The 24,979-nt window shown below is 35.0% G+C and overlaps 1 protein-coding gene and 1 long non-coding RNA gene across 6 annotated transcripts in view; one reads left to right on the forward strand and one right to left on the reverse strand.

Annotated features, from left to right (window-relative positions):
* PCDH9 (protocadherin 9) overlaps window positions 975-24,979 on the reverse strand; it is a 927,503-nt gene continuing 903,498 nt past the window's right edge. For all 5 annotated transcript variants that reach the window (XM_017020619.3, NM_001318373.2, NM_020403.5 and 2 more), the window contains one exon: window positions 975-3,169. In XM_017020619.3, the coding sequence (XP_016876108.1) occupies window positions 2,796-3,169 (374 nt within the window). In that variant the 3' untranslated portion in view covers window positions 975-2,795. The remainder of the gene's footprint in view (window positions 3,170-24,979) is intronic.
* PCDH9-AS1 (PCDH9 antisense RNA 1) lies at window positions 2,012-21,702 on the forward strand. Its single transcript, NR_046528.1, has 2 exons — window positions 2,012-2,155; window positions 21,315-21,702. It is a non-coding gene; the product is annotated as a PCDH9 antisense RNA 1 (long non-coding RNA).

Genomic DNA, 24,979 nt, shown 5'->3' on the forward strand with positions numbered 1-24,979 from the left:
AGGAATGGGAAAGGTGAATGCCTTTTTCAAACTTCCAGTTTATTCATGGAGAGAATATGAGATTAGTTTCTCTCTCTTTACTCTTCAAGGCAGAGGTGAATGACTTACCTGATTGGTGAAAAATAGAGAAAGGAACTGTGCAGGCATAGATTTTAATTTCTGTTTTTCAGAATGTCCTCTTTTCAGGATTCATTCCCTGTCTGTATCTTGGGGCAGTCTCTACTCCTGTGAGGGAAAAGAGGGTGGTGCTGCAGTGTACCTCAGACTAGAGGACAGGTCTAGCTTATTAGGAATGAATGGTTAGGATGTCATATCCGGACAATGGTCCAGGCAAATAACTTTAACACTATGCCTCTGACTCCCAAATCCTATTTCATAATCCTCCAAAAAGCTCTAGGGCTTGAAGAGTCAGGCTTACTTACCTAGCCCAAAACTCCAGCATGAGTGAACATTGATGCAGTTGCTCTAGGGTGAGCATACACACATGGCATATGTTTGAGTGTGTCTTCTTATCCTTGATAGCTTTCTGTGCCTATTTTCCTAAACTGAAAGAAATACAGATGAAGTTTGACTCTGGGTTTAAGGCCATAATCCCAGAATGATCTTCTGCCTTGGCCAATGAAAGTTTGTTCCATGAAATCTTATTAAAGAGACAAAGAATAAAAAAATAACCTTACTAACTAGTGCTACCAGCACAGTTTCTGACTTGGGATTTCACTGATGAAATTTGCATGAATCTTGACCAGAAAGTCAATGAACTTTCTCCATGAATTTCCCTAAAGAATAGTTTTGAAGACCATTAGGGTAATTGAACACTTATCTTGGTACTCACATTTTCAAAGGATAGGTATTAAACCCCAATGAATCTTCCTTAATTTCTAAATAAATGTTAAATTTTATCAACATATATTTACCCAACAATTAGAAGTATAAATAACCAATTTGGATGTTGACTAAGAATTAACACACTGCAATCAGGAATTCAGAACATTTATTGCAAGAGCTGAATAATTGTAAATAACGTAGAACTGGCAAAGCAGTAACAAGGATAATTGTTTAGATATTTATTCTGTCAAAGTCATCAAACACCCCTCACAAACCGACAAAAATGTACTTCAATAAGCAATGCACCCCTACCCATTATTTTCCATTATACTGTGGAAAAATGTGAACTGCTATTTACAAAGTAATTTTATTTTTTGGTAAGAACAAATTAACTATCAGATTAGCAAACCTTTTTTTTAAATTTTTTGTTTTTTTTTTGTTTTTTTTACTTTTAAATTGATGGTGAACCGTGGCATTAAGATAACTTCCACTTCTTTCAATAAAGACATTTTGTTGCATGCTATTTATTTGTTTAAATCATCTGTCATGCCTTAACAAAAACCTCCTAAGAATGTTCGAATTTGGATTTGTTTGCACGTGCAACTGAGATCTTATTAACATTAGTTGTCACTTTATTGGTTTGACCTAAGTGACAATATGCTGGTACCTGCCAGGCATTGACCAACTATGATAACAAACAGTTAAACAGCAATAATTAGAGATTTATCCCTTTATTTCCCCCAACTACCCTACCTGGAGAATGTTCTGTTACATCATGAAGGCACAACACATTAAATATTTTGTGGCTATGGTCTAATAACACTTGTGTTACAACAACATTATTGTATATGAGGATCAACACAGACTCTGCCATTTCAACAAAGTTGTAGACACACATTTGCCCAATTGAAACTATTTTTGAATAGTGATTTTTCTTCCATATATGCTAATTTTGATACATTAGTTTTACATGAGTGACAAGTACAGGATATTATATCACTTTTGATGGATAACAGTTTTCCATTACTCTCTCACTTAATGGTACTAATTAAGTGATTTTGCTTTTGCCTACTTTGAAAATAAGATGATAAAAAATAGGTTCTGAATTTCCAAGCTTTTGCAGAAGTCCTTTTTTGTATAAAGTTTTCATTTTTTCTTTCATCTTTATTGTTTACAGAATTCCGGCATCATAAGCTATCATATGAGAAGCAAGATTTCAGAACCTTTTTTAAACACAAGTGCTTGAGATTGTTTGAACAATGTGTGTCAAGACAGACTACTAACACAGAAACACCTCACTGAAAGAAACAACAAAAATAACAACAAAGAGGTAAATAAAAAGAAGGACAGAAGCAACCATAAAACACAGAATTATGCTACAACATTTTTAGGTGAACATTATAAGTACACAAAAGTTGTTAATAATAGCTTGCTTCTATTTACAAATACTTTAACACTGATTGACTTACAAGTGTCCACTAACGTTGTTAACAGCACAATAGGTTTAATGCTTATCTCTTTAAGTTTTGTTTGCAGTATAATGTCAAGTATAGCAGTCCCAGCACAAATCAATGACAAAAAAAAAAAAAAAAAAAAAAAAAAGCACAATTTTCTAACTGGATATGTTTTTCAGTCACTCTAATCCATGAAACTTTCTTACTTTCCAAATGCATATTCTATTGTTCATAGCAGCAGTCCAGGGTCAAAATAAAATGCAATAATAAAAAAAATTTGCACAATGGAGAGATCTCTGGAGAGTGTAATCAATTCTAGTAAACAAAATTGCATGGCTAGAACTATCTTCTCTCATATGTTGCAAAAACATTGTATTCTCCATGGTGCTAACACAAAGTTATAGGTATCCCTGCTAGAAGGGGCATAGTTGTAGAGATCTATTGAATACATAAAGCTCTGACGCACACGGTATTAGCATGTCTATTTAAAGTTATTAGGTCCCATATAGCCTTTTCTTAGAGTTGGTGCTCCTTAGGACTCTCAGTAGCACCTCCTGCTTGCTTATAAGACTTCAGATTTGCCAGAGGAATGTCTGTCATGTGGCTGCCATTGTTGAAATGGCCTTCATTGGAGCCATACTGCTTACGGTCATTGAACTGGTTCCTGTTGCTGTCTTCTTTCCAGGCTCTGGTCAGGGTGTGCCCATTCACAAGCTTGTCCTTCTTCACCCATTCTTTCTGGGGTGCAAAGGTTGAGAGAGGAGATTTGGGGTGTTGATATGGACCCAAGCCAGGAGGCATCCAGCAATTATCAGAGTGACCCAAAACCAAGCACTCTTGAGTGCACATCTCTGTAGCTTCAGCTAATCCTCGGGGACCCAAAGGCCCATCTGCAGAAGACAAGAGAGAGAAAATAAGAAAAGGAAGTGGTTAAAATTTTCAATTAGAATTATCTTAGAGAAAAAGTATGTTATTAGTGATCTTATTTTTTCATAAAAGTGTATCAAGTCAAGCAACTCAAAGATATATTTCTCCATCTTTTAAAGATTAACACAAAAGGCATCAAATTTGTTAGGGAGGTAAGATTGATCTATTAATATTTTCCTTCTTAATCCATTATTTAGTTATTTAGATCCAAAGACATAGATAGATAAAAAGACAGATATGGGTAAACAGGTATAACCATGATGTATACAGATATAACCATGATGCATACAGATTATTACTAATTTATATTCTAAGAAATCCCAGAAAAAAACTCATATTTATGATAAATTATAAAAAGTAGAACAATTTGTATGTGTAATATTAAAGAATATATAAATAATACAACTCCACTAAGTTAAAAAGCAAAATTACCACTTGAAACATAGCATCATTAAAAATAAATACTCTAAATGATTATATAAAATATTGTTTTTTTCTACATAAACACCTTATTTTTAAATGAAAATATTTTGTCACATTTTTGAAAAGTTAAATACTCATTTTAAAGAATAACTATTGTATCTTACTAACAACACACCTGGTCAGCTGCAAACATTCTGAAATCCAAGTAAAGAAGAAGCCATTTGAATCCAGACAGTGTTTAGTTCCCCTGAGCTTAACTATTTTCTAAATTTCTAAGGTATAAAACTGAAGCTAAATTGCAAATTAAATCACATGGAGTCTAACATTCAGGGGGAAGAAAGTGATCATAGAATTTATCTTCTACTTTTTTCACCAGCAGGCAATCTAGAACATACATTTTAACCAGGATTTCGAAAGTAAACTATTTTCTGACTGTTTAAAATAGAAATCAGCCCTTTACTAAAAAAACAACATAAGCCAAATGGTTAAGAAATAAATTGGGTTTCTTTGTTGCTGTTGTCTTACCCCCCTTGATTAAACAGCCACGTGATAGATAAATGATAGCTTGGAAATTAGGAATTGATTTTACAAATGAAGTTAAGTGGATACACAAGAATGCCTGAGGCATAAAGCATTTTCAAATGCAGAGAGTCATCAGAAAAAAAATGCAGAAAAAAGTAAACATACCTGCAAGTTTGCTTAGTCATCAATTTAAATCGCTCAATAATTGGAATGTAGGTCTTTGCTAAAACCAAAGTTAGCACAACTAATATTTTTAAACGTCCAATAATTGTGAGCTTTCTATTTGCCTTTATAATATTCTAATTATTTCTTGCATGAGAAAAAAAAATTCCCACCGAGACAGGAAACAGTTGATGGTAAAGACCAGAGACAGCAAACCACAGGCAACATCAAAATAGATACAGAATGTAGTTTTCCTGGGTACAATGTATACTGCTTGGGTGATGGGTGCACTAAAATCTCAGACCTCACCACTATACAATCATCCACGTAACCAAAAACCACTTGTACCCCAAAAACTATTGATATAAAAAAATTGTTTAAAAACAGAACAGATACTAGATGTGAAAAAAGGGGCTGAAATGCACTATTTCATATAAACTCAAAGTTTAGCGATTTTTTTTATATCTAAAAGTCTTCCTTTTAGAATATCCTTAAAATTACTTCCCATCTGAACCATATTCCCATCCCCTCAAGAGCAAACAGTTTTATTTTGTTTAAACACATATTCATTACTTAAAACTTTTCCTCTCACATACCTCCAATGATTACTCACTTTTTTGGATATTTAATTTAAACTTCTCTATGAGCCTTTCTTTGCCCTCTACAATCTGGCCACATTTTAAAAGTTCAAACTAATTTATCACTTTTAGGCTCCCTTAGGTGTACTCAGTGACTCTGCATTCACAAAGCTAACACATTTTGCTTAAACCAATCCACGCTCCCTGCATTAGGATCACAGGCTTAGAAGATGCTTTTTGCCGGGCCTGTTTTCATTTAATTACTGACCTCTTCAAGGGTCAGCTTATGTCCCACACACCAAAAGCAAGCTTCCATAACTCTACCAATTCATGCTTCATATGCACCTTGATTTCCACAGAGCTTTCTTTATTGATGAATAACAAATTTCCTAATTGAGCTCCCTCAACTCTTACCTTAATTCCATTTTTTGTTTTTTGGAGGGGGTTCCGTACATTTGCAAGTTTTAATTTTAATTTCCTCCCAACTAGATTGAAAATTGATGGAAAAAAAATGGCACATCGGTCTTCTGATTCTTCACAGTGCTAAACAATAGTGGTGATCTACGAACAATGTTAATTGTTAATTAAACTTTTATGAGGTTGAAAATGTTCTGAGGATTATTAAAGATATCTCCTGCTTAAAGGCAGACCTAAAGTAATTATAATAGAAGACGCTGATTTCACAAATCTTACACCAAATGCTTCCTCAACAGCAAATTCCTTTGCCTAGCAATACTTTGTGACAGCTTATAAATGAATAATTTAACTTCTCTGTTAAATATATTTACTCCTTTCTAAACATCAATGGAGTTAATCACCAATTTGATATGTAACATATCTTGAAGCCTACAAGCAAACTTTTAATCTTTACATTTCCAGCGTCATTAATAAGTTTTTTATTGTTAAAATCTCCAAAGAGAAAAAAAATTACTGGCTACCTCAGAAATGTCATTACATCAGGTTTTTATTGAGCTCATCAAAAAAGAGAGGATGTGCAAGGCTATTTTAAAATTAGCCTTATGCAACACACTCTGCCATCTTATTAATTTAAGACATATCACTCGAAGATTGAGAATGTGTTGTGTGCGCGTTTATAAGAATATGTATACCTTAGGTTTTCAGCATTGAGTGACACATTTTAAGAAATATAATTTATCCTTTTAAAAAATATTTACAACCAACAACATTTATTTATTCCACGAACATTTACTGAGAATGTACTATGTGCTGGCACTGTGATAGGCACCACAACTACAGCCTTGAACAAAACAGATGTCAACACTATCCTCATGAAGCTGGGAGCTATTCTGGGAAACACATAATTGCCTTAAGAGCAGTGAGCTGAGAGGGAAGTAAAAGGTGTCATTAAAATGATCTGGGGGCCGTTAACTGTTTTAGGAACGTTTTTCTCTTTATAACTTATCAGATAGACTTTGTGCTAAGGTACATCATTTCTTCTTCAATTTCTTTAAACTTTTTTTTACATAATTGGCATTAAGACATTTACAGTTACAATTTTATGTACTGTACAAAATCTTTAACTTGCAAAACATGAGTTTGTTTTCATTAAATAATATTACTTGTTCTTTGTACATTGTACTTCCCATGATTCATTCCTGTAAGTAAACTTGAAGGATTTTGATAAAGTCTATAAATAAATTTATAGAAGTTTTGTAGATTCATAAGTAAGTCTTTCAGATAACTGGTTGCTGTATAAATTTTAAAGATCCATCCTCAGGTCAGCCATGCACAATGGCACTCTACATGAAAGGCAGAATTTTTTTGTTGGAGCTCTAAATGGGAGAAGCCTTTCAGGCAGAGCCATACAAGGGACTGAATCTGGGAACAAGGTAACAACAAACTGGAGCTCTAGGGGACAGTTTATATATGAAAAACTGAGTAGGGTTAGCTAGGGTTTTAGGGCTCTCTGAGGACTGGCTAATTTGAATAATTTCTCAAGAACCAGGTAAAAACAGCAATGTCAAATTATCTAGTATCAAAGCATTTGCTTAGGGAGGTTGCTTTGTGACCCAGAAGTGTGAGATCACTAGAAGAGAACTAGAGGAATATGGATTTAGCTGCTCAAGAAGGGGAAACTGACCAGTCTCTAGACCGGGGCTCAAAACTGAGCCAAGACAGCAAAAAATAAAAACAAAAACAAAAACAAAACCTATATACATCAATCAATCCATCAATAATCTGCTTCTCTGCTGTGTATCATTACAGTATGAGCTGTATTGTTGGAAAATATAATTTGCTTTATGCTTTAAAAGTTTTTATTTTTAATTTTTGTAGTTACATGGTAGGTGTATGTATTTATGGGGTACTTACTTTATGCTTCGGTAAGTTTTTATTTTGGGACATGACATTAAATAGGGAAAAGTTTAATTTGTTTCTTTGGGTCTCTATGTAATTCCCAGTAATTGCTGTGATATTAAGGAGAAAACAAAACAAAACAAAAAACAAAAGCCCAGTGAGTTTTATCATGGGAAAATAACAATGCTTCCATGTTTTCTTCCTTAAAGTCAGTGTCATAAATTGGTAAAAAGAAAAAGTATATGTTTTTTCAAAATTCCATGATGAATTATTAAAGGGAATACATTCATTCGACTGGTCTCCTAAGTCAGTCCCTGCCCTATACATGTTTATAATCTGATATATGCTAATAACTGACTAGTTTCTAACTCATTTTTCTCATTTTTAGAAGTACTGACTGAGTTTTTATGCTTTTAAAAAGGAGAAAAACATTGTTTTAAAAATGTTATTAAATATTGAAATTTTCCAAAATATGATTGAATATAATCTATAGTTCTCCATAAATATACAGGGTTTTAAATCTCAGATGTTTGCTAATACTGCAAAAATTATATGCACTAAACTGTAATCCTTTTTCTTTGATATATTTTTATTATTACTATAGGTAATTATATTAATTGATGAATAATATTTGTTTTTCATTCATACAGTCTCTCAAATATTTATTAAAACCTAACATTCATCATATGTATCATTGTACTGGATTCTTATTAGATGTTTTCAGATTTTGTTTGTGTGTGAGTGTGGTGTGTTTGTGCATGTGTAATCATGTGCATCTGTGTTTTTTTCTGTTTCTCTATTTTTTCATAAATTTTATAATATACTATTTGTGCTACATCATAAAATATATGTGTAGAATCCTGATCAGGATTCCAAACTACTTATAAATACTTTCTATAATTTTATCATTACACCAGTTTATTTCCTTTCTTTTAAAATAATTAAAATAATCTATCATAAATTTTTTAAACACTGAAACATTTATTGATTTTTTTTAACTCAAATTCTTTGTTGCTTTGCACAGTCTTTAATGTCTGAGTTTGGTTATCCTTGGGTTTGGTGTGTATAAAATCACAAGTGCAAATAACACCGTGCAAGCCATCTGTCTCTGCATTTAAATTTTGAAAGCAAAAACAAAAGCACATAATGAAAAGCTTCTGGAAAGTTGTTTCAGTTAATATTTATATCAGGTCTCAAAATTCATCTTCACACAACTCATCTTCTCGTTAAACACCAAATAAAATATTTTTCAAAGTTTTAGGCATTAGCAGCTCTCAGACAGGTGCCTGAATTACTAACTTTAAAAGATGCAAGTTTAAAGTGTAAAACAATTCAAGTTAATGGAACTCCAACTATACTTAAGTAGTAGAATACTTGAGTGGTTCTTGATGTCATTTTACTATAACCAGAAGCAGAACTGTTACTTCATTGATTAATTCACTGCTGTAATTAAGAAATAGCTTCTGGCCTGTTGACCACCGACCTTTCAATCTCATTATTTGAAACCCTTTAATACCAAAGCTAGAAACTGGCATTTCTTTAAAAAAGCTATGGGACTTTTTACATTTCTGGTTAGTTTTCATACTGTATGAAATTTTCATCTTTTCTATGAATAAATTTTTCTTAGAATTTTTACTGTTAGGTAACATAAGTTTAAACCGACTGCCAAAATTGGTTTGTAAAATAAATAAGTCATTTTCATATGATTTAGGATCAAATTCATCACATCTCACTCCATTTTTCATTTTGTTCAATTTTTATTATAGGCAAATTCCTCTTGGATGGAATACACATCTGACTGTCATGTTATAATATTATTTTTGTAGTAAGAACATACATCACTATTTTTATGCAAAACGTTTGTTCCTAAGTTCCAATTTCACTGTATTTCTCCAAGACTTTGTGCTATCATGAGTGTCTATTAAGCAAAGACTTGTGCACTCCCAAACACTTTAAAATGAAAGATGCATTCCACTGATTTGGATTTGCTAAAGCAGTTTCCCTGACATTTAGATATAGTGATGTTTTAAAGAAATTTCCTTTTTATGTAAACTTTTACTCTGTAATTTTGCTTTGCACTTACAGCTATTGATATGCTCAGCAAAATCTTAATCTTCATACTTGTTCTTTGCCTTAACCAATCTTTCTATAATAAAATTTCGGGGAAACAAATATTCTCATTCATTCATTTGAAGTTAATTTTAGTATCTCCAGAATACTAACACAACAAAATTTAGTATTTTTACTAGCTCATTTTATCCCTCAATTTTTCTCTCTCTCTCTCTCTTTCTCTCTCTCTCTGTGTGTGTGTGTGTGTGTGTGTTATTTATTTATTTTTTGAGACAGTGTGTACCAGCATAACTTTTTTTGTGGATTGAATGGAAAGCTAAAACTATAGGTTTATGTAAATCTGGAGGGACCTGAAAGAAATGTCAGAGGCAAATTTACTTGATAGACACCCTAATATCCACTATTCTACTCTATGTTCTATATTTATTGAACAGTTGCTATTAAAAATAAAATCCATTAATTTGCCTCAAATCTAAACATGGTAAAATTAATTTCAAATATGAAAGTTGGCATGAAAACCAGGAAATAGTTCAGCATTGCCCTCATGCCCTTTGGAGACTGCATTACTATTTCAGACCACTTTATTCTATGCCCACTTTATTCTATGCCCAATCAATACATTTAAATGAATGTCATACAATAATAAATAGATGTTTAGTTATTACTCCGCTCTTATTATACAGAAAACCAGCCAGAGGGTGTGAATCTCATTGCCATTGTATTCAGATTTTATATGAAATCATATAGAACAGTTATGTGGACAGTCCAAATCCAAAGGTAAATATGACAGATTTGTGTGTACTTTGGGGAGAAATGCTTTCCATTCATTTATTCAATAATTTCTGATTTAGTTCATGTTAGATTCAAAAGACTATTGTATAGAATATCTAAAATCAGAATCGATAGGAAAATCTCAAGACACAAGATCATTACAGATAGGCAAACAAATAAATAGATTTTAGCCCTAGTAGAATGATGAATTGGTATGGACTTTAAGAAAGTAAGCTTAGACTCCCTAGCTCCCAGTCTGTTACCTATAAATTGAGAGGATAAAAAGGCTAGATTTTGATGCATGCCCTCTATACATTCTTTTATTCCTTAATTAAATATCATTGTGGTTTGTCATCGATACAACATGAGAATCAAACTTTCCAATGCTACTTCATTTCAGTAAAGAAAAGCCCAAGAGAGAGCAAAGAAATGATAAATCAATCTATTGTTCAGATAGATTAGGCTAGGCATGGTGGCTCATGCCTGTAATCCCAGCACTTGGAGAAAAGCACGGACAACACGGTGAAACACCGGCTCTACAAAAAATACAAATATTAGCCAGGCATGGTGTCATGCGCCTGTGGTGCCAGTTACTCAGGGGAACTAAGGTGGAAGGATTGCTTGAGCTGGGAGATTGAGGCTGCAGTGAGCAGTGATCGCACCACTGCACTCTAGCCTGGGAGATAGAGCGAGATCCTGCCTCAAAAAAAAAAAAAAAATTACTCTAGTACTGAGGTCACATTTAGATTTTTGAGTGTGAAATTATATTTTGAATAACTACGTTTTTAAATGTAAATAAAAATCTAGTGGTTCTATCAGAGTTTTAGATCTGCATTTGTGAATGCATCTGCAGTAACCTTGAGAAACAAACGCACACGAATCCACACCACCAGGATTGGACAAAACCTCTGGTGAACAAGTAAACAAGGATTAAATGTTTTACACATTTCTCATACAGATTTCTTCCTTGGTCACAGATGAAAAGTCAACATTTGCAGATGGAGACAGTCCAAATACAATAACACATGGCCACGCCAAGCAGGGAATTCACTGCCAGAGAAGATATTGCTATTTGAACAGACTTTATGGCTCACTAAGAATGAAGAGCATTTCCTTGTACATCTTCAGCCTTCTTCTGCAGGGCATGAAAATAAGCTGCCTTTTTCTCATCTGCTAAAGCTAATTGCTGTAAAGAAAAGTTTCTCTGATAATTTTATGTGCTCTCTATTAGTATTTTACATTGCAATCCATTGAATGACAATAGTCCAAAGAGACAGACCTTCATTATTCAAACCAACTTTCAATGTTTAAGCAAACTGCTTGATGTGGAACATTGTATTTACCTTATTGCAGATCATATTTACTTTCTTCTATAGTTCATCATTTCTTGTATTAGTATTTCACGTTTTTCCTTTCAAAAATTCATTCATATACTGCTATCTCCTGAATTACTCTCCATTTCTTGCAATTTGCATTGTTTCTCAGACAAACTTGGTAAATCTAATTTGATGTGAAGCACATTTTAAAGTGCAGACTAAGGTGTTAAGCAGTGAAGTAATAATACTTTAGAGATTAATTTTCAGGCTGAAGTCCAAGTGAAAAATAAGCCACTTACATAATATTTTGTCCCCTTTAAAAAGTGTTGCAAAAGCGAGCCTGAATACAGGTCATACACAATAGTAGTACACAATGTTATGAAGCAATTTGCCTTTATACAATTCCACTGTTTCCTATTCCAGGGATATTTAATCAGATGAGAGCAGGAAAAACTGATGACGTTCATTTTCATGCCTGTGGTCTCTGACAATTTGTACCCAGGACACTAATAATATAACTTCAGCCTTGTTTCTCTCCTAGTCTCTGGGTTAGCGTTTCCACTTCTCACAATCATCAGAGGTGGTAGAGACTTGCCCCAAGTGATTTTAAGCATTGGATAAATGGGGGAAAATACTTTGCTAAATTAATAAGGATTTAAAGACATAATAATTTATATACTTTAAAAGATGTCTGAAAGATTATATTTTAAATGGAATAAAACATCAGATATGGAATCCATGTGATCTGTAGGTATACGCGTGTGTATTTACACCTGGACTGTCTTACCATCACTTTAAATTAATATATCACAGCTCAGTGCTTCTCAAATGTTAATATGTATATGAGTCACCTAGGAAAATCATTAAAATGTAGATTCCAATTCAGTACATCTGATTGGGTCCTGAGTTCCTGCATTTCTAACAGTTCCTTAAGTGATTCTGCTGATGGTGTTCAAGAATCACACTTTGAAACGCAAGACATTTAGAACTTACCTGTCTGCCTTCGCTCCTTTCCCAGTGGTCTAAACTAATAACGTTTTCAGGCTTCATCTTGTATTAGAGTTCACTGGAGAGTTTTAAGCACACAAATTGTTCTCATCAACAAATTCTGAATCGGTAGGTTTGGGGGGTAAGTCCAAGATCCATCAAGCCACATTCTCCAGATTTTCCTAATCCATCTCTCACCTTCCTGTTCAGTTTCCTTTGATGATACCACACCCTTGCCAGATCCCTAAATGTTAGAATGCTCAGAGCTCTTTATCTGCACTTCACCTATGTGAGCGCATGTAATCACTTGGTCTTACACAACATAAATATGTGGATTCCCCAATTTATATTTCTAGCCCTTAATCTTTCTCCTAGGGACAATATCAGTATATTTGACTATCTACTTATCAGGAGTATTGGATTACTAATTGGCATTTTCAAGTTACACAATTCTTGCATTTTTTTAGAAAATTCCCCTGAATTTACCGTTCTTGTATATGGCACACTGATGACCTAGTTGCTCAATGCAGGAAAAAAGGTATTTGGAGTATCGTCCTTGACACATGTTACATAAAAATCTAAAATGCCTCTCCCATCAATATTTTCACCCTAATCTCTGCGACTATGAATATGATAAGATTGAACCAGTGATTGTGTTGAACTATATGGCAAAGGGGATTTTGTAGATGTAATAAAATTACTAGTCAGTTGTGTTTTAGTTAATCAAAAGAGATTGTTGGTAGGCCTAATCTAATCACATGAGTCCTTTATAAGCAGAGTGTTTTCTCCAGCTGGTGGCAGGTGGGAGTCCAGATTCCAAGGACGGGAAGGATTCAATTGGCAATTGCTGGCTTTGAAGACAAAGGGACTGAATAAAAATGATGTGAGAGCAGCCTCTAAGAGTTGAGGGCAGCCCCCCACTGGGCAGCTCGCACACAACAGGTGTCTCTGTCCTACAAACACAAGCAACTGGATTCTGGCCACAGTCTCAATAAACTGGAAGCCAATTCTTCTTCAGAGCCTCCAGATAACAGTCTAGCTCAGCTGACACCTTGATTTCAGCCTTCTGAGACCCTAAGCACGTCAAGCCCACCTAGGTTCATGAGATACTAAATGGGTGACAACTGAGACAATAAATTTGTGTTGCTATAAGTCTCTAAATTTGTGATAATTTGTTACATCTGTTTTTTACTCAAATCACATAACCAAGCACGTAGCAAGTCCTTTCATCTACCAGCTTCCCTGCAAACTGCATGGCCCAAGCCACTCTCTTTTTTTTTTGTTTTTTTGAAATGGAGTTTCGCTCTGCCACTTAGGCTGGAGTGCAGTGGCGCAATCTCGGCTCACTGCAAGCTCTGTTCCCCAGGTTCAAGTGATTCTCCTGCCTCCGCCTCCTGAGTAGCTGGGATTAGAGGCGTGTGCCACCACGTCCAGCTAATTTTGTATCTTTAATAGTGACGGGGTTTCTCCTTGTTGGTCAGGCTGGTCTCGAACTCCCGACCTCAGGTGATCTGCCCTCCTTGGCCTCCCAAAGTACTGGGATTACAGGCGTGAGCTACTGGGCCCAGTGGCCACTCTCATTTCTTAACAGGACTTGCTTCTTCCCCATTTTCTCAACATTCTATTCACTAATCTCTAGCATATTTACATTTGTTTCCTGTTGCCACGGAGACAAATTACCACAAACTTAGTGGCTTAAAACAACCAGCATTTATTTTTCTACATTTCTAAAGGTTAAAAGTCTGAAATCAGTCTCACTGGGCTAAAGTCAAGGTGTTGAGAGGGCTGGTTCCTTCTAGAAATTCTGAGGAAAGAATTCATTTCCTTTCCTTTTATTCAGATTCCTGTGGTCATCTATGTTCCTGGACATGTGACTCCTCCCTCTATCTTCAAAACACATCATTCTAACCTCTGCTTCCATCATCACATCACCATCTCCTCTGACTCCTTCATCCTTCTTACTGGGATCACTTTGATTACACGGAGCCACCTGGATCATCCAGGATAATCTTCCCATCTCAAAATGAGATCCTTAACTTAATCATGCCTGAAGGTCCTTTTTGTCATGTATGGTAAACATATTCACACATTCTGGGGACTAAGACATGGATATATTTGGGGGACTATTATTCAGACTAACACAGTATTTAAAGCAGAATGCCTCACTCCTCTGCTTCCAATCACACCTGGGTGAAAGCCATTACTCCTTTCCATGGCCTAGAGAGCCTCTCATGATCTGGTTCCTGCAGAGCTTTCTAATCTCATACCTCACTTCTTTCCCTGTACTTCCCTGCTCTCCCACACTGAATTTCTTGCTGTGCCTTGAACATGCTTAATGTAGTCTCAGGGTCTGTGGATTTGGTATTATGTATGCCTGGAATATTCTTCTCCTGGGACTTAGATTCACTCCTTCACTTCATGTAGGTGTCCTCTCAAAAGTCAATTCTTCATAGAGGCATTTCCTTACCACCTTTAAAAATAATGATATCCTCTACTCAGTCAATTTTTATCCTCTTATCTTTTTCTTTTCGAGACAGATTCTCACTCCGTTTTCCAGGCTGGAGTAAAATGGCGTGATCTTGGCTCACTGCAACCTCCACCTCCTGGGTTCAAGCAATTCTCCTGCCTCAGCCTCCCAAGTAGCTGGGATCACAGGCACGCACAACAACGCCTGGCTAATTTTTGTATTTTTAGTAGAGATGGGGTTTCGCCATGTTGGTCAGACTGGCTTTGACCTCCTGATCTCAACTGATCCAACCTCCTCGGCCTCCCAAAATGCTGGGATTATAGGTGCCAGCCACTGTGCCCGGCCCGCTAGCTTTGTTTTTGTTGATAGCACTCATCACTACCTTTCACAATACATTTATTTGTTAATGGTCTATCTCTCACACTAGAATATAAGCACCATGAAATCACACACTTTGCTTTTTTCATACATCTATGTAGCTATGAAACAACATCTCTTTCTATGGCCTGGCACATTGCAGATAATTATTAGATATATTTAGAAAAAAAAAGTTAGCACTGAGCCTCAGACTGGTGAGCCAACAGAGAAACTGCATGTAAAACATTATGTGGCAAATAATTTTCATCAAGAAAATAGTGAATAACAGGAACACCTCTAACCTGTACATGAGAAACTTTGGTAAGAATTTATAGCATAATATTTTTAATAATATTTGGAATGTTCAAGTGAAATTAACAAAGGCAAAATAGCTGCATTCAGATCACTTATCTCCCAGCTATTTTGGAGTTAAAGGGACTGGGAATTCCCCAAAGTAAAATATAATTAGGTTGTTTTTTGTATCCCACCTAACCATTTAATCATAATTTCTTTAACCATCAGAGCTTTTAGTCTTCAGAAATCCAGATTCACAGGATACATAACAAAACATTTCCTTACAGCCTAAAGATGCTAAAATAATTATTAGTAATTATTCTGAGACAGAGCTCTGATGAAATACAGACAACAGTGCAGAATTTAGTCCTTTGATACAGGTATATTCAAGTAAGTGGGAGGATATTTAAGAAAAAAAAAGATGATTAGCAAATTTATTGAAAACTTAAAAGTAGTTTAGATTTTTTATAACTATATTGGCTTACAATGATAAGGGATGCAATTACTTTTCACAAAGTTTAGGGGGAAAAGGTGACTTTTTAAAAGGCTAATATGTCATTTTAGTGTACATGTAGAATACCATTGTGAAATACATTGCTTAAATTCAGCTGTACATAAAGAAAAACTACTCTAAAATGGGAAGAAATAAAATGTTATATTTTGAAAGAATCTCCTAAGGGAACTGTTGAAAATGCCATTACTCTGTTATTGAAAATGGCCTGTATAATAGAGTTTGTAGAGAGAAATTTTGCCCTCTCAGGGTGATACATAGGAGGATTACGTTTTCCAATCTAAAATGTATGTTTATCTCTGAACACACCTTGCAAATCCAGGGAAATTACTTCATTAATATGGTTTCTTGAAAGGTAAATTTCTCTCTTAAAATAATAAATATTGCATTTGAATTTTATAACATCTATATACATTTTGCAGAGATTTTTCTGCAATCTTTTCTGCTCTGTTATTGCCAATCATCAACTGCTATTTTTTGACAAAAGAAGAGAAATTGTGTCTCTTATACTTTAGTTACTGTTTTATTAGTAGTGTGACGAGCAGTCCCAAATATTCAATAGATACAATGTTGCCATATTTATCACAGACAAACCATTGTCATCACACTTTTATACAAGGCATGAATTATTTATCATGTTTCTGAAATGTAAAAATTTTGTTGCCACATCAATATGCTTTTCAATAATCTTTAAAAATCTCTCAAGATGAAGATAAAATTTGCATGCAAAATTTTAGGAAAGCCTGTATTACCCTCAGAATAAAATGTCTTAGTTAATGTAAGGGAACAAAATGGAGGCAGAGGGAGAAATTGCCATGAAATCCTGTATCTAGAAGAAAACAGTCTTGGTGCACAAATAGACCTTGTCTCCTGAAGGGTTATCTTTTTGCATCATCTGGGTTATTTCCAATAATTTCTTCTGAAAAGTTATGGTTAATCACATTTGCTTTCCATCTAGATTTGCTTTCCCTTAACAATTAAATATGCTTTATTATTTTCCAAACTGTCCTATTTAAATTACCCATCTTCTTGGCATAATAACTGGTGGTGACTTCTCTGATAAGCTTATTAATATTACAATGTCATTGACCAAAAAGGCTATTATTCTCTGGAAGGATATCTACACTTCAGTAAGAGTGTATTAGTCTGTTTTCACACTGATATAAAGAACTGCCCGAGACTGGGTAATTTATAAAGGAAAGAGGTTTAATTGACTCACAGATCCGCATGGCTGGGAGGCCTCAGGAAATTCACAATCATGGTGGAAGGCAAGGGGAATCAAGGACCTTCTTCACAAGGCGGCAGGAGAGAGAAAGAGTGTGTGTAGGAGGAAATTTCAAACACTTATGAAACCATGACATCTCTTGAAAACTCACTATCATGGCAATAGCGTGGGGAAAAGTGCCCCATGATCCAATCACTTCCCTTCCTCGACATGTGAGGATTACAATTTGAGATGAGATTTGGGTGGGGACTCAGAGCCAAACCATAGCAAAGAGCCTTATAAAGCTGCTTTAATCCAAATACAGGGGTTCTTGAAGCGCAATGGCAGATGAATTTGACTTTGTGGTAGAGAAGGCTTTGAGGCATTTATCAAATCACAATGTGAAAGCATGACTCCTCCCTGTGAGGTGCCATGGCTTGAGCATCTTTCAGTGTGCTGGCATAAAAGAAATGGCACTCAAAGGTATTAATCGAAAAGAGTTTAATGAAGGAGCTTTTGTGGCATGTGGGATGGTGAAATTAAACTAATAAGGATTTAGTGAGGGAGACAAGGACCTAAAAAAGTAGGAAACTATCATTACCCCTAGGCCTGAAGGGGCAAAAGGAGGGTGAGATATGCCTAGAACGTTGAAAGAGCTATGGAGGATTCAAAAGAATCTAGCCAGGACACCAGAGAATGAAGAAACAAGATAACTTGTAATATAAAAGTCAAAAGCAAATGTGGAAAAGTTTTGTTTTTGCTATTTTGAGAATCACCTGGTATAAAATCGTTACATGTTCTTTAAGATAACCTTCCAATTGTTATCCAAACTGTGAAGACCTAAATGGTCTAAACATAATTTCCAAATTCCTTTGTCATCCTCTACCATTAATGCTGACAGGCACAATCAACTTAGAAACAATGCTTCCTATTACCTATAGGTAATATGCAAGCCAATTATTAAGATAATAAGTCAAAATAGAAATTATAAAACTTAAAGTATCCTTGTGAGTTGATGAAAAGTGAGCCAGTGAAAATGAAATATTCTATTGTCTTTAATATTTTAGTAAAAATTTTTGAAATGTGCTTTATATATTTAACAAACACTGGGGCACCTTGCAGCATGAAACATTACAAAATAACTAATCTAGTTTTGTATTCATTGGAAGTAAAAATTTATGCTGGATTTATAATCGCAGTCTCTGTGTCTTTTTGATTTCATGCTGTAAAGTATGTTAAGTAATTCCTTTTTTAAGTTCTTGACTTGGCCTCTGTGCCTCAGTCTACCACATTAATAAAATCATAAGACAGCTGGCCCTTGCCAAATATTATCGATACTGCTTAGGATGTCAGTCTGTTTCTCCCTAATAAAAGTGAACTGCACAGTGAACCTTTATTTTTTAATCTAGTTGACAGTCAAAAGTTTCAAGATCTGTGAACCTTTGGCAAGATTTATAAAGTTAAGCTGTTGTCTAGAACAATTGGCTTCGGTTCAAAATCAATCACTAAGAGTATTTTTTATCTGTCTGAAACACTCCCAAATGTTCTCCCTTTCAGCATGAAATGTAAATGGAACACCAAGAAACAGCATACTTCATGGCCATGTTATAACTAATGAATTACTTGGGGTATGTATCTTGGGAGAATCTGTATCTATATGTATCTACCTATTTATTCATAAATAAGCTATTTTAGGGCTACCTTGTTGACAGTAGTATTATTTTAGTTAATATAACTACATTAGGTGGGTCTTAATTATAGTTCCGAAGCCTCATTGATTAAAATGTGACACAGGTGATAGAGGATGAAATGGTGTTATTTGACTAAACAGATGATTTTAAGATCATCACGTATAGCTTTCATGTTCTCCCTTTAAGCAAGGCTACTGGGGACCAAGTTTCTTTTCCTTTCGGAGTGTTTTTCGCTAAATCTAAAGCCTGGCTTCTTGGTAATCACTGTTATAGCCACTACAATGTATTCTCCTTTCAATTGGATATGCTACAAACACCTCAGGCAGAGCTTAAGACATATACCAGGCCTTGCTACACTGTCTTAGCTTACTGGGCTCCTGAAGCAAACTGTAAATATATACCAATGATTAAAAACGGCTCTCCAAGTTCTATGGCATTAAGTTGAAGAAACCCAAAGTCATGAAACAGGAAACATGCCCAACTTTTTCCTCAGAAGCTGAATGCTAATCTGCCATTAGATCTCTCTATTTGTTATAAAATAACGATGTAATGATTTCTTTAATATGCTTGTTTGCAGGGGGTGAGCAGAGTATAAACTAACTCATTTTAAAATATGAACTAGAAATCACAACAGCAAATTACATTTTCCTCATATAAAGATGAGATTTTTAAAGATGGAATCCAGGTGATTGAGCATGGATGATCAGTGTGATGCCAACAGCAGATTTGAACTGATATAAACTACATTTTTCGGTTGATGGTCCTCACTACTACCTTAGGAGCTAGTGCTCTTTGAAAGTGCGTTGTTTGGCTGGCTGCCTATCTCGGAGCCTTTTGAATCCCTAAGATGGTCTGTTAAATATACTGAAATTCAAGCCTGTTTTCATTGGTTTGTTTAATTAAAATGGTCACTATAGATGAGTAGGTCATGTTTGTAAACATACAGAGCATTTATTTAAAAACAAAACAAACAAAAATTCTAATTGCTCATGCCAAAAGATGAGCAAACCCTGTGTTTTCTAATCCCCTATAAGAGTTAAAGTTACTTTTTAGTGTTTTCTCTTTCAAGGTTGCTTGAAGTTTCTTCTTTGGATCTCACTGTGGAGTAGATGCTTTCTTTCTTGTCATCCATTCTTTGTTTATTTCCTTGCTTGACACCCCAGGGTCCATTTTGCTTAGCTTCAGTGCCAATGGACTAGAATATTCTAAGCCTGTGATGTGACTTCCTCATAAACTTTATTAAATTTAAATTATATGTGAAGTGGATAAAATGATATAAATTACATTGACAGAGCCATACATTGTATATTTGGATGCATGGGGGGGGTGTGATTATTATCATTATTATTATTCTTTGAAATTGATGCTAAATTGGTGTCACATTATGGTTTGCTGTTTTCTTGAAGGACATGCTAGATTTTTGCTTTTAAAAATTTCTTTCTATGAGAATACATTCTGGGTTCAGAGTACTCAAGTCCCTAACAAAATATACCAAGTGAATGGAGAAAAGCCAAGCCATTCCATTCCCTCTGGTTATCTCAATGACAGGTGTAAATTAACCTATGATCACCGTGGTTGGGATGATCAGTATTGATTGTGAAAATGGCCACAGCTCAGTTTCTCATACGTTGTCTATACTGCCTACGTGTTTAAAGATATCAATCAAAAATCTGACACGGTTAAGTTCAATTTGAGTGGCAGCACTAAGGGATCTTTAGGGACTGGAAAGCAGGCTGGATTTAAGGTAAGCTGGCAATATATGCCTGTTTATGATTTACCATCTTGCACTGACACATCTTTTCTCAAACCATCTGCTTCCTTCATATCATTAGAGAATCAGGCACAGGCCACATTGCCTCTGTTTATTTAACAGCATCCTTGTTGGTGACTGCATGATAGAATCCTTATTAATTCAAGAACTTGTTTTTTCAGATAGAAAAATACTCTATACAGGCATTGGAAATTATATACTCTAAGAATCAATGACATGAAATTTTCTGAAGTAGATCCAGTGATTTTATAATTAGTATTTATTGGACATTTTGATTTCATTTATGTGGGCACGTATATCACTCTCAGCTTTGCTAACAAAACTAGATGTATAAAAAACATCTTTATATACTTCATGTTCAAATGGATTACAAAAAAAGTATGTTGTGGTAAAGCTTTCTGGCTCTTTTAAAAAATTCTTCTAATCATACTTAACAGAAAAATTCTTTCACTGTGAACTGTGATATGTTATATGTTTCCATTTTTAAAGCAAAAATATAGTTTTAACAGAACTATTAAAATAAGGAAGGAAAGAGCTACTGCATTTCCAAGCATTCATATATTCAGTGTTTTCCTTTCTTGACAAGATTAGCAGTGCAGATGTTAATTGTGATATGTAACATGACTTGTCAAGATACCTAAAATCCTTGGTCTCTGGTTCTCTTTTAGGTTTGATGACTGGCTTACAGAGAAGAATAAGGAAATGTACCTCTAAGAATCGTTTGAAATGAGTCTTCATATCCTCCCAAATATTTTTCAAGAACGTTTGGCATTACTTCAAAAATTAACTTTAGGAAAGGAACTATTATCACATTTTAAGAGGGGAATTGCAGTTGCACTTAAACTAGAAACTTCCACTTGGTGAATTGAATTATTAAGGAATAATGGCAGAAGAAAGAGTAAGTCGTTTATAGGCAATAATAAGCAATAAAAATATATGTATATGTGCATGCAAAAAGTTATGGCAAAACTAATAAGATTTTAAAAAATCATTGTGTTCCTGAAGAAACAAAGAACTGGTTTTCTTCTAAGGAATTAAAGAGTTTTGTTTCTTTGGCTTCTTTCTTGTAATTTACATTATTTCTTTCAAAGTGTAGATTTTGTGGGCAGTGTAGAGATTCTTTTATGGTAAACAGATTTTTATTTTGTTTCCTTTTATTGGTTTTGTTTTGCTTTGGAACTTTTTTTTTTTTTAAACCTATGGCGGCATCACATCTTAAGTAGGTTTTAAAGTGAGTAATGAAGACAAAATTCAAGTATAGTCAAAGCTATCCTTGAAGCGCATTCAGGATGTCAAGATGCTCACATTTTAAGAAGCATGAGCTCTGAGGAAACACATACACTTGTCACCCACAGCAGTTTACTCCGGGGCATCTGCTTAGTATCCTTGGAAGGAATGACCATCAGAATCATCTGGACTATTGAAACTGTCTCTCCTCTCTGTCTAACTTTCTTGGCTCAGCAAATACAATTGAAGTTGCATCACTAAAATGTACATTGCCTATATATGCTGTGACTTCACTTTGTAAGAGAAGAATTCCTTTCTGGCCACAATTTTGCTCTAGCTCCACCCTCCTCTTCTTTTACTTTTTCTAAAGGAAGACTATTAGAGAGGAAGACAGATGAGCTGTGAGCAGAGTACTGTAGACCAAGACAGCAAACTGTGAAAGACCATGGGAAACCCATGAGGCTGGAGCTTCCTTTTGCATCTGAGAGAATACCTTAGGGGTCCTGCTATATAACAATCCTACTCCACTATCCTGCCATCTGCTCCCCTTCACGAGACAAAAAAGGTAGATCTATTGGTGAATATTGTAGACAAAACCAGGTGTTTTTGAACTGTCCAAGAGAAACGTTAGAGAGCATTCCCCTTAACCCCATTATTTCCATTAGGAAAAATGGGTTAGAGAGATAAAGTGACTTGCTAAAGGTCACAAGTTACTTCGACCTAGGATGAATTTAGAGCTTCTAATTCCAAAAACAAGGCCACATGCTGCTGCCAGTTATTGATAGAGAATATTAATTTTAGATGAATAATGGTAATTACAACAAGCATGACCAAAATAAAATAAAACTATATGTGCCAATTACAATAGCCTAAAGTGAAAATGCAGCCATTGGCCATTCTATGTAATAAAACATTTGAAAAGGTAGAATAGGCACTGTGAGAGTGGCACAGAAAAGCTAATTGCAAGGGGAAGTGTAAAAGAAAGTTTAGTTTCCTAAGCAAGCAGAGCAATTAATTTTATAAACACAGAAAGACATCATCTATAATCTGGAAATATTCAAAACATGTAGATTAATATAATTCACCAAGTTTTACCACTGTAGAGTTCTGTCACCAATATTTTCATGTTGATCATCAGAACCTTAAAGTTTTACTCATGCTAAAATCAAGTAAAACTGGACACATATGCAAACTTAGAGCGTCTGTCATCTCTCACTTCAATTGTGGGATACTAGATGTCAGTATCTAGCAATCTAGATCTAAAATATTTCTATCTAAAATTTGACTAAGTTATAAACATTGTACCCACTATAACTCATGAGAATATCATTTATTATAGTAATAATATAGAAACAATATTTTTCACTAGAAATCTGTTACACTGCTCAAATTCTGGACAACAAAACAGGTGGGGTCCCTGTAATACAAACTTGATGTGTATTTTTACAATGAATTCCATAGCTAGTTTTAGTTTTATATGAAACATATTTGCCATTTCATTCTAGCGATGGATGTTGTGGTCTTTGCTGAGGGAGAATAGTTATTCAGAAAGCTATTCTATTAAGATGAGAAGGATAAGCGCTGGTCTTTAGGTCTCTAACTGATTGCTTCCCAGCTCCATGAATTAAGGTTAAAAGGCATTCATGATGTCTCTAGGACTTATGACGAGTTTTCTGTATCCTATGAGATGGGGGGAGAAAAGTTTCTAGAAGCCAAAATAATTTTAAGGGCAGAGATAACATTTGTGTAGAGTTAAACTATGTCAGCCTATTCCACAGTTAGAGCTGACAAGGTTAAATTTCTGATTTTCTTTTATTAAGTAAGCCAGCCTTCAGAGAGATAAAGGATGCCTTCCTGTACATCATTTCAGAATTTACTTAGACTAATGGTACTTAAGAATGATCGTGTGCACTTGCATTTACATATCACACATATTTTCTATAGGGTCGCTGTTGCTGGTACATATATTGAATCCAAGCATACATCAATGGGAGGTCACTCTTATTTTATTCACAATTTTTAAAGCTAAGGCTTCTGGTTGCTATTAGTGAATACAAGTACTTTCAAATGATACTCAGAAAAAATAGTCACAGAATTAGATTAACTATGTGATCTTGTGTCTATGGAGTTTGACTGAATTAAATAGCTTTGAAGCACAGGTTCATTACAATCGTAATGAAGTAAAATTGTCAGATCATTCCCACCTCCTATTCAGAAAACTGACAGGAAGTGTGGCTTATTTTTCCCTTGTTATATGTCTCAGGTACATTATTCCTCTCATTACTCTATCAAACCTCCATCCAGTTTCGGGTTGTTTCATATCCAGAAAACTCCAACCGCCTTGTTTTTACTCACCTCTGGCTTCTCACATTTTTAGTAGTCTGCTCTAAGTACGAGGACAACAAAATTATTTTCCTCCTGTACCATCTTGATTACGTCTTTATATGGCTTAAACCAGGACACAGGTGGATACAAATTATCAATCCTTTCTCACTTACATATATGTAACCCCAGCAGTGTTCTCTTGACTGTGTCTCCCCAGTATTCCATGTTTCCCCATTATAAACCTTTTGAGATGGAGTCATGTATTTTATATTGTTTTATAAACATACACATTGACACCAGAACAATTTCATAGATGTGTAATGTGTTTTCTTCTTCTTCTAAAAAAAAAAAAAAAACAACGAAAACAATAAAAAAAAACACACCAGAGTCTTGCTCCGTCGCCCAGGCTGGAGTGCAGTGGCGCGATCTCGGCTCACTGCAAGCTCCGCCTCCCGGGTTTACGCCATTCTCCTGCCTCAGCCTCCCGAGTAGCTGGGACTACAGGCGCCCGCCACCACGCCCGGATGATTTTTTGTATTTTCACTAGAGACGGGTTTTGCCATGTTGGCCAGGCTGATCTCCAACTCCTGGCCTCAGGTGATCCACCTGCCTCAGCCCTCACACCTGGGATTACAGGTGTGAGCCACCGCTCCTAGTCGCATAATGCATTTTAATTCATGATAATTATATTCCTGTGAGTGAAAAAAGGCCAAAGACATCTTGAAATTTTATCCAATTTTTAAGCTTTTTACATAAAAATAAATGTATGAATTTAAGTTTA

Source organism: Homo sapiens, chromosome 13 (genome assembly GCF_000001405.40).
Source record: "Homo sapiens chromosome 13, GRCh38.p14 Primary Assembly".
Lineage (NCBI taxonomy): Eukaryota > Metazoa > Chordata > Mammalia > Primates > Hominidae > Homo > Homo sapiens.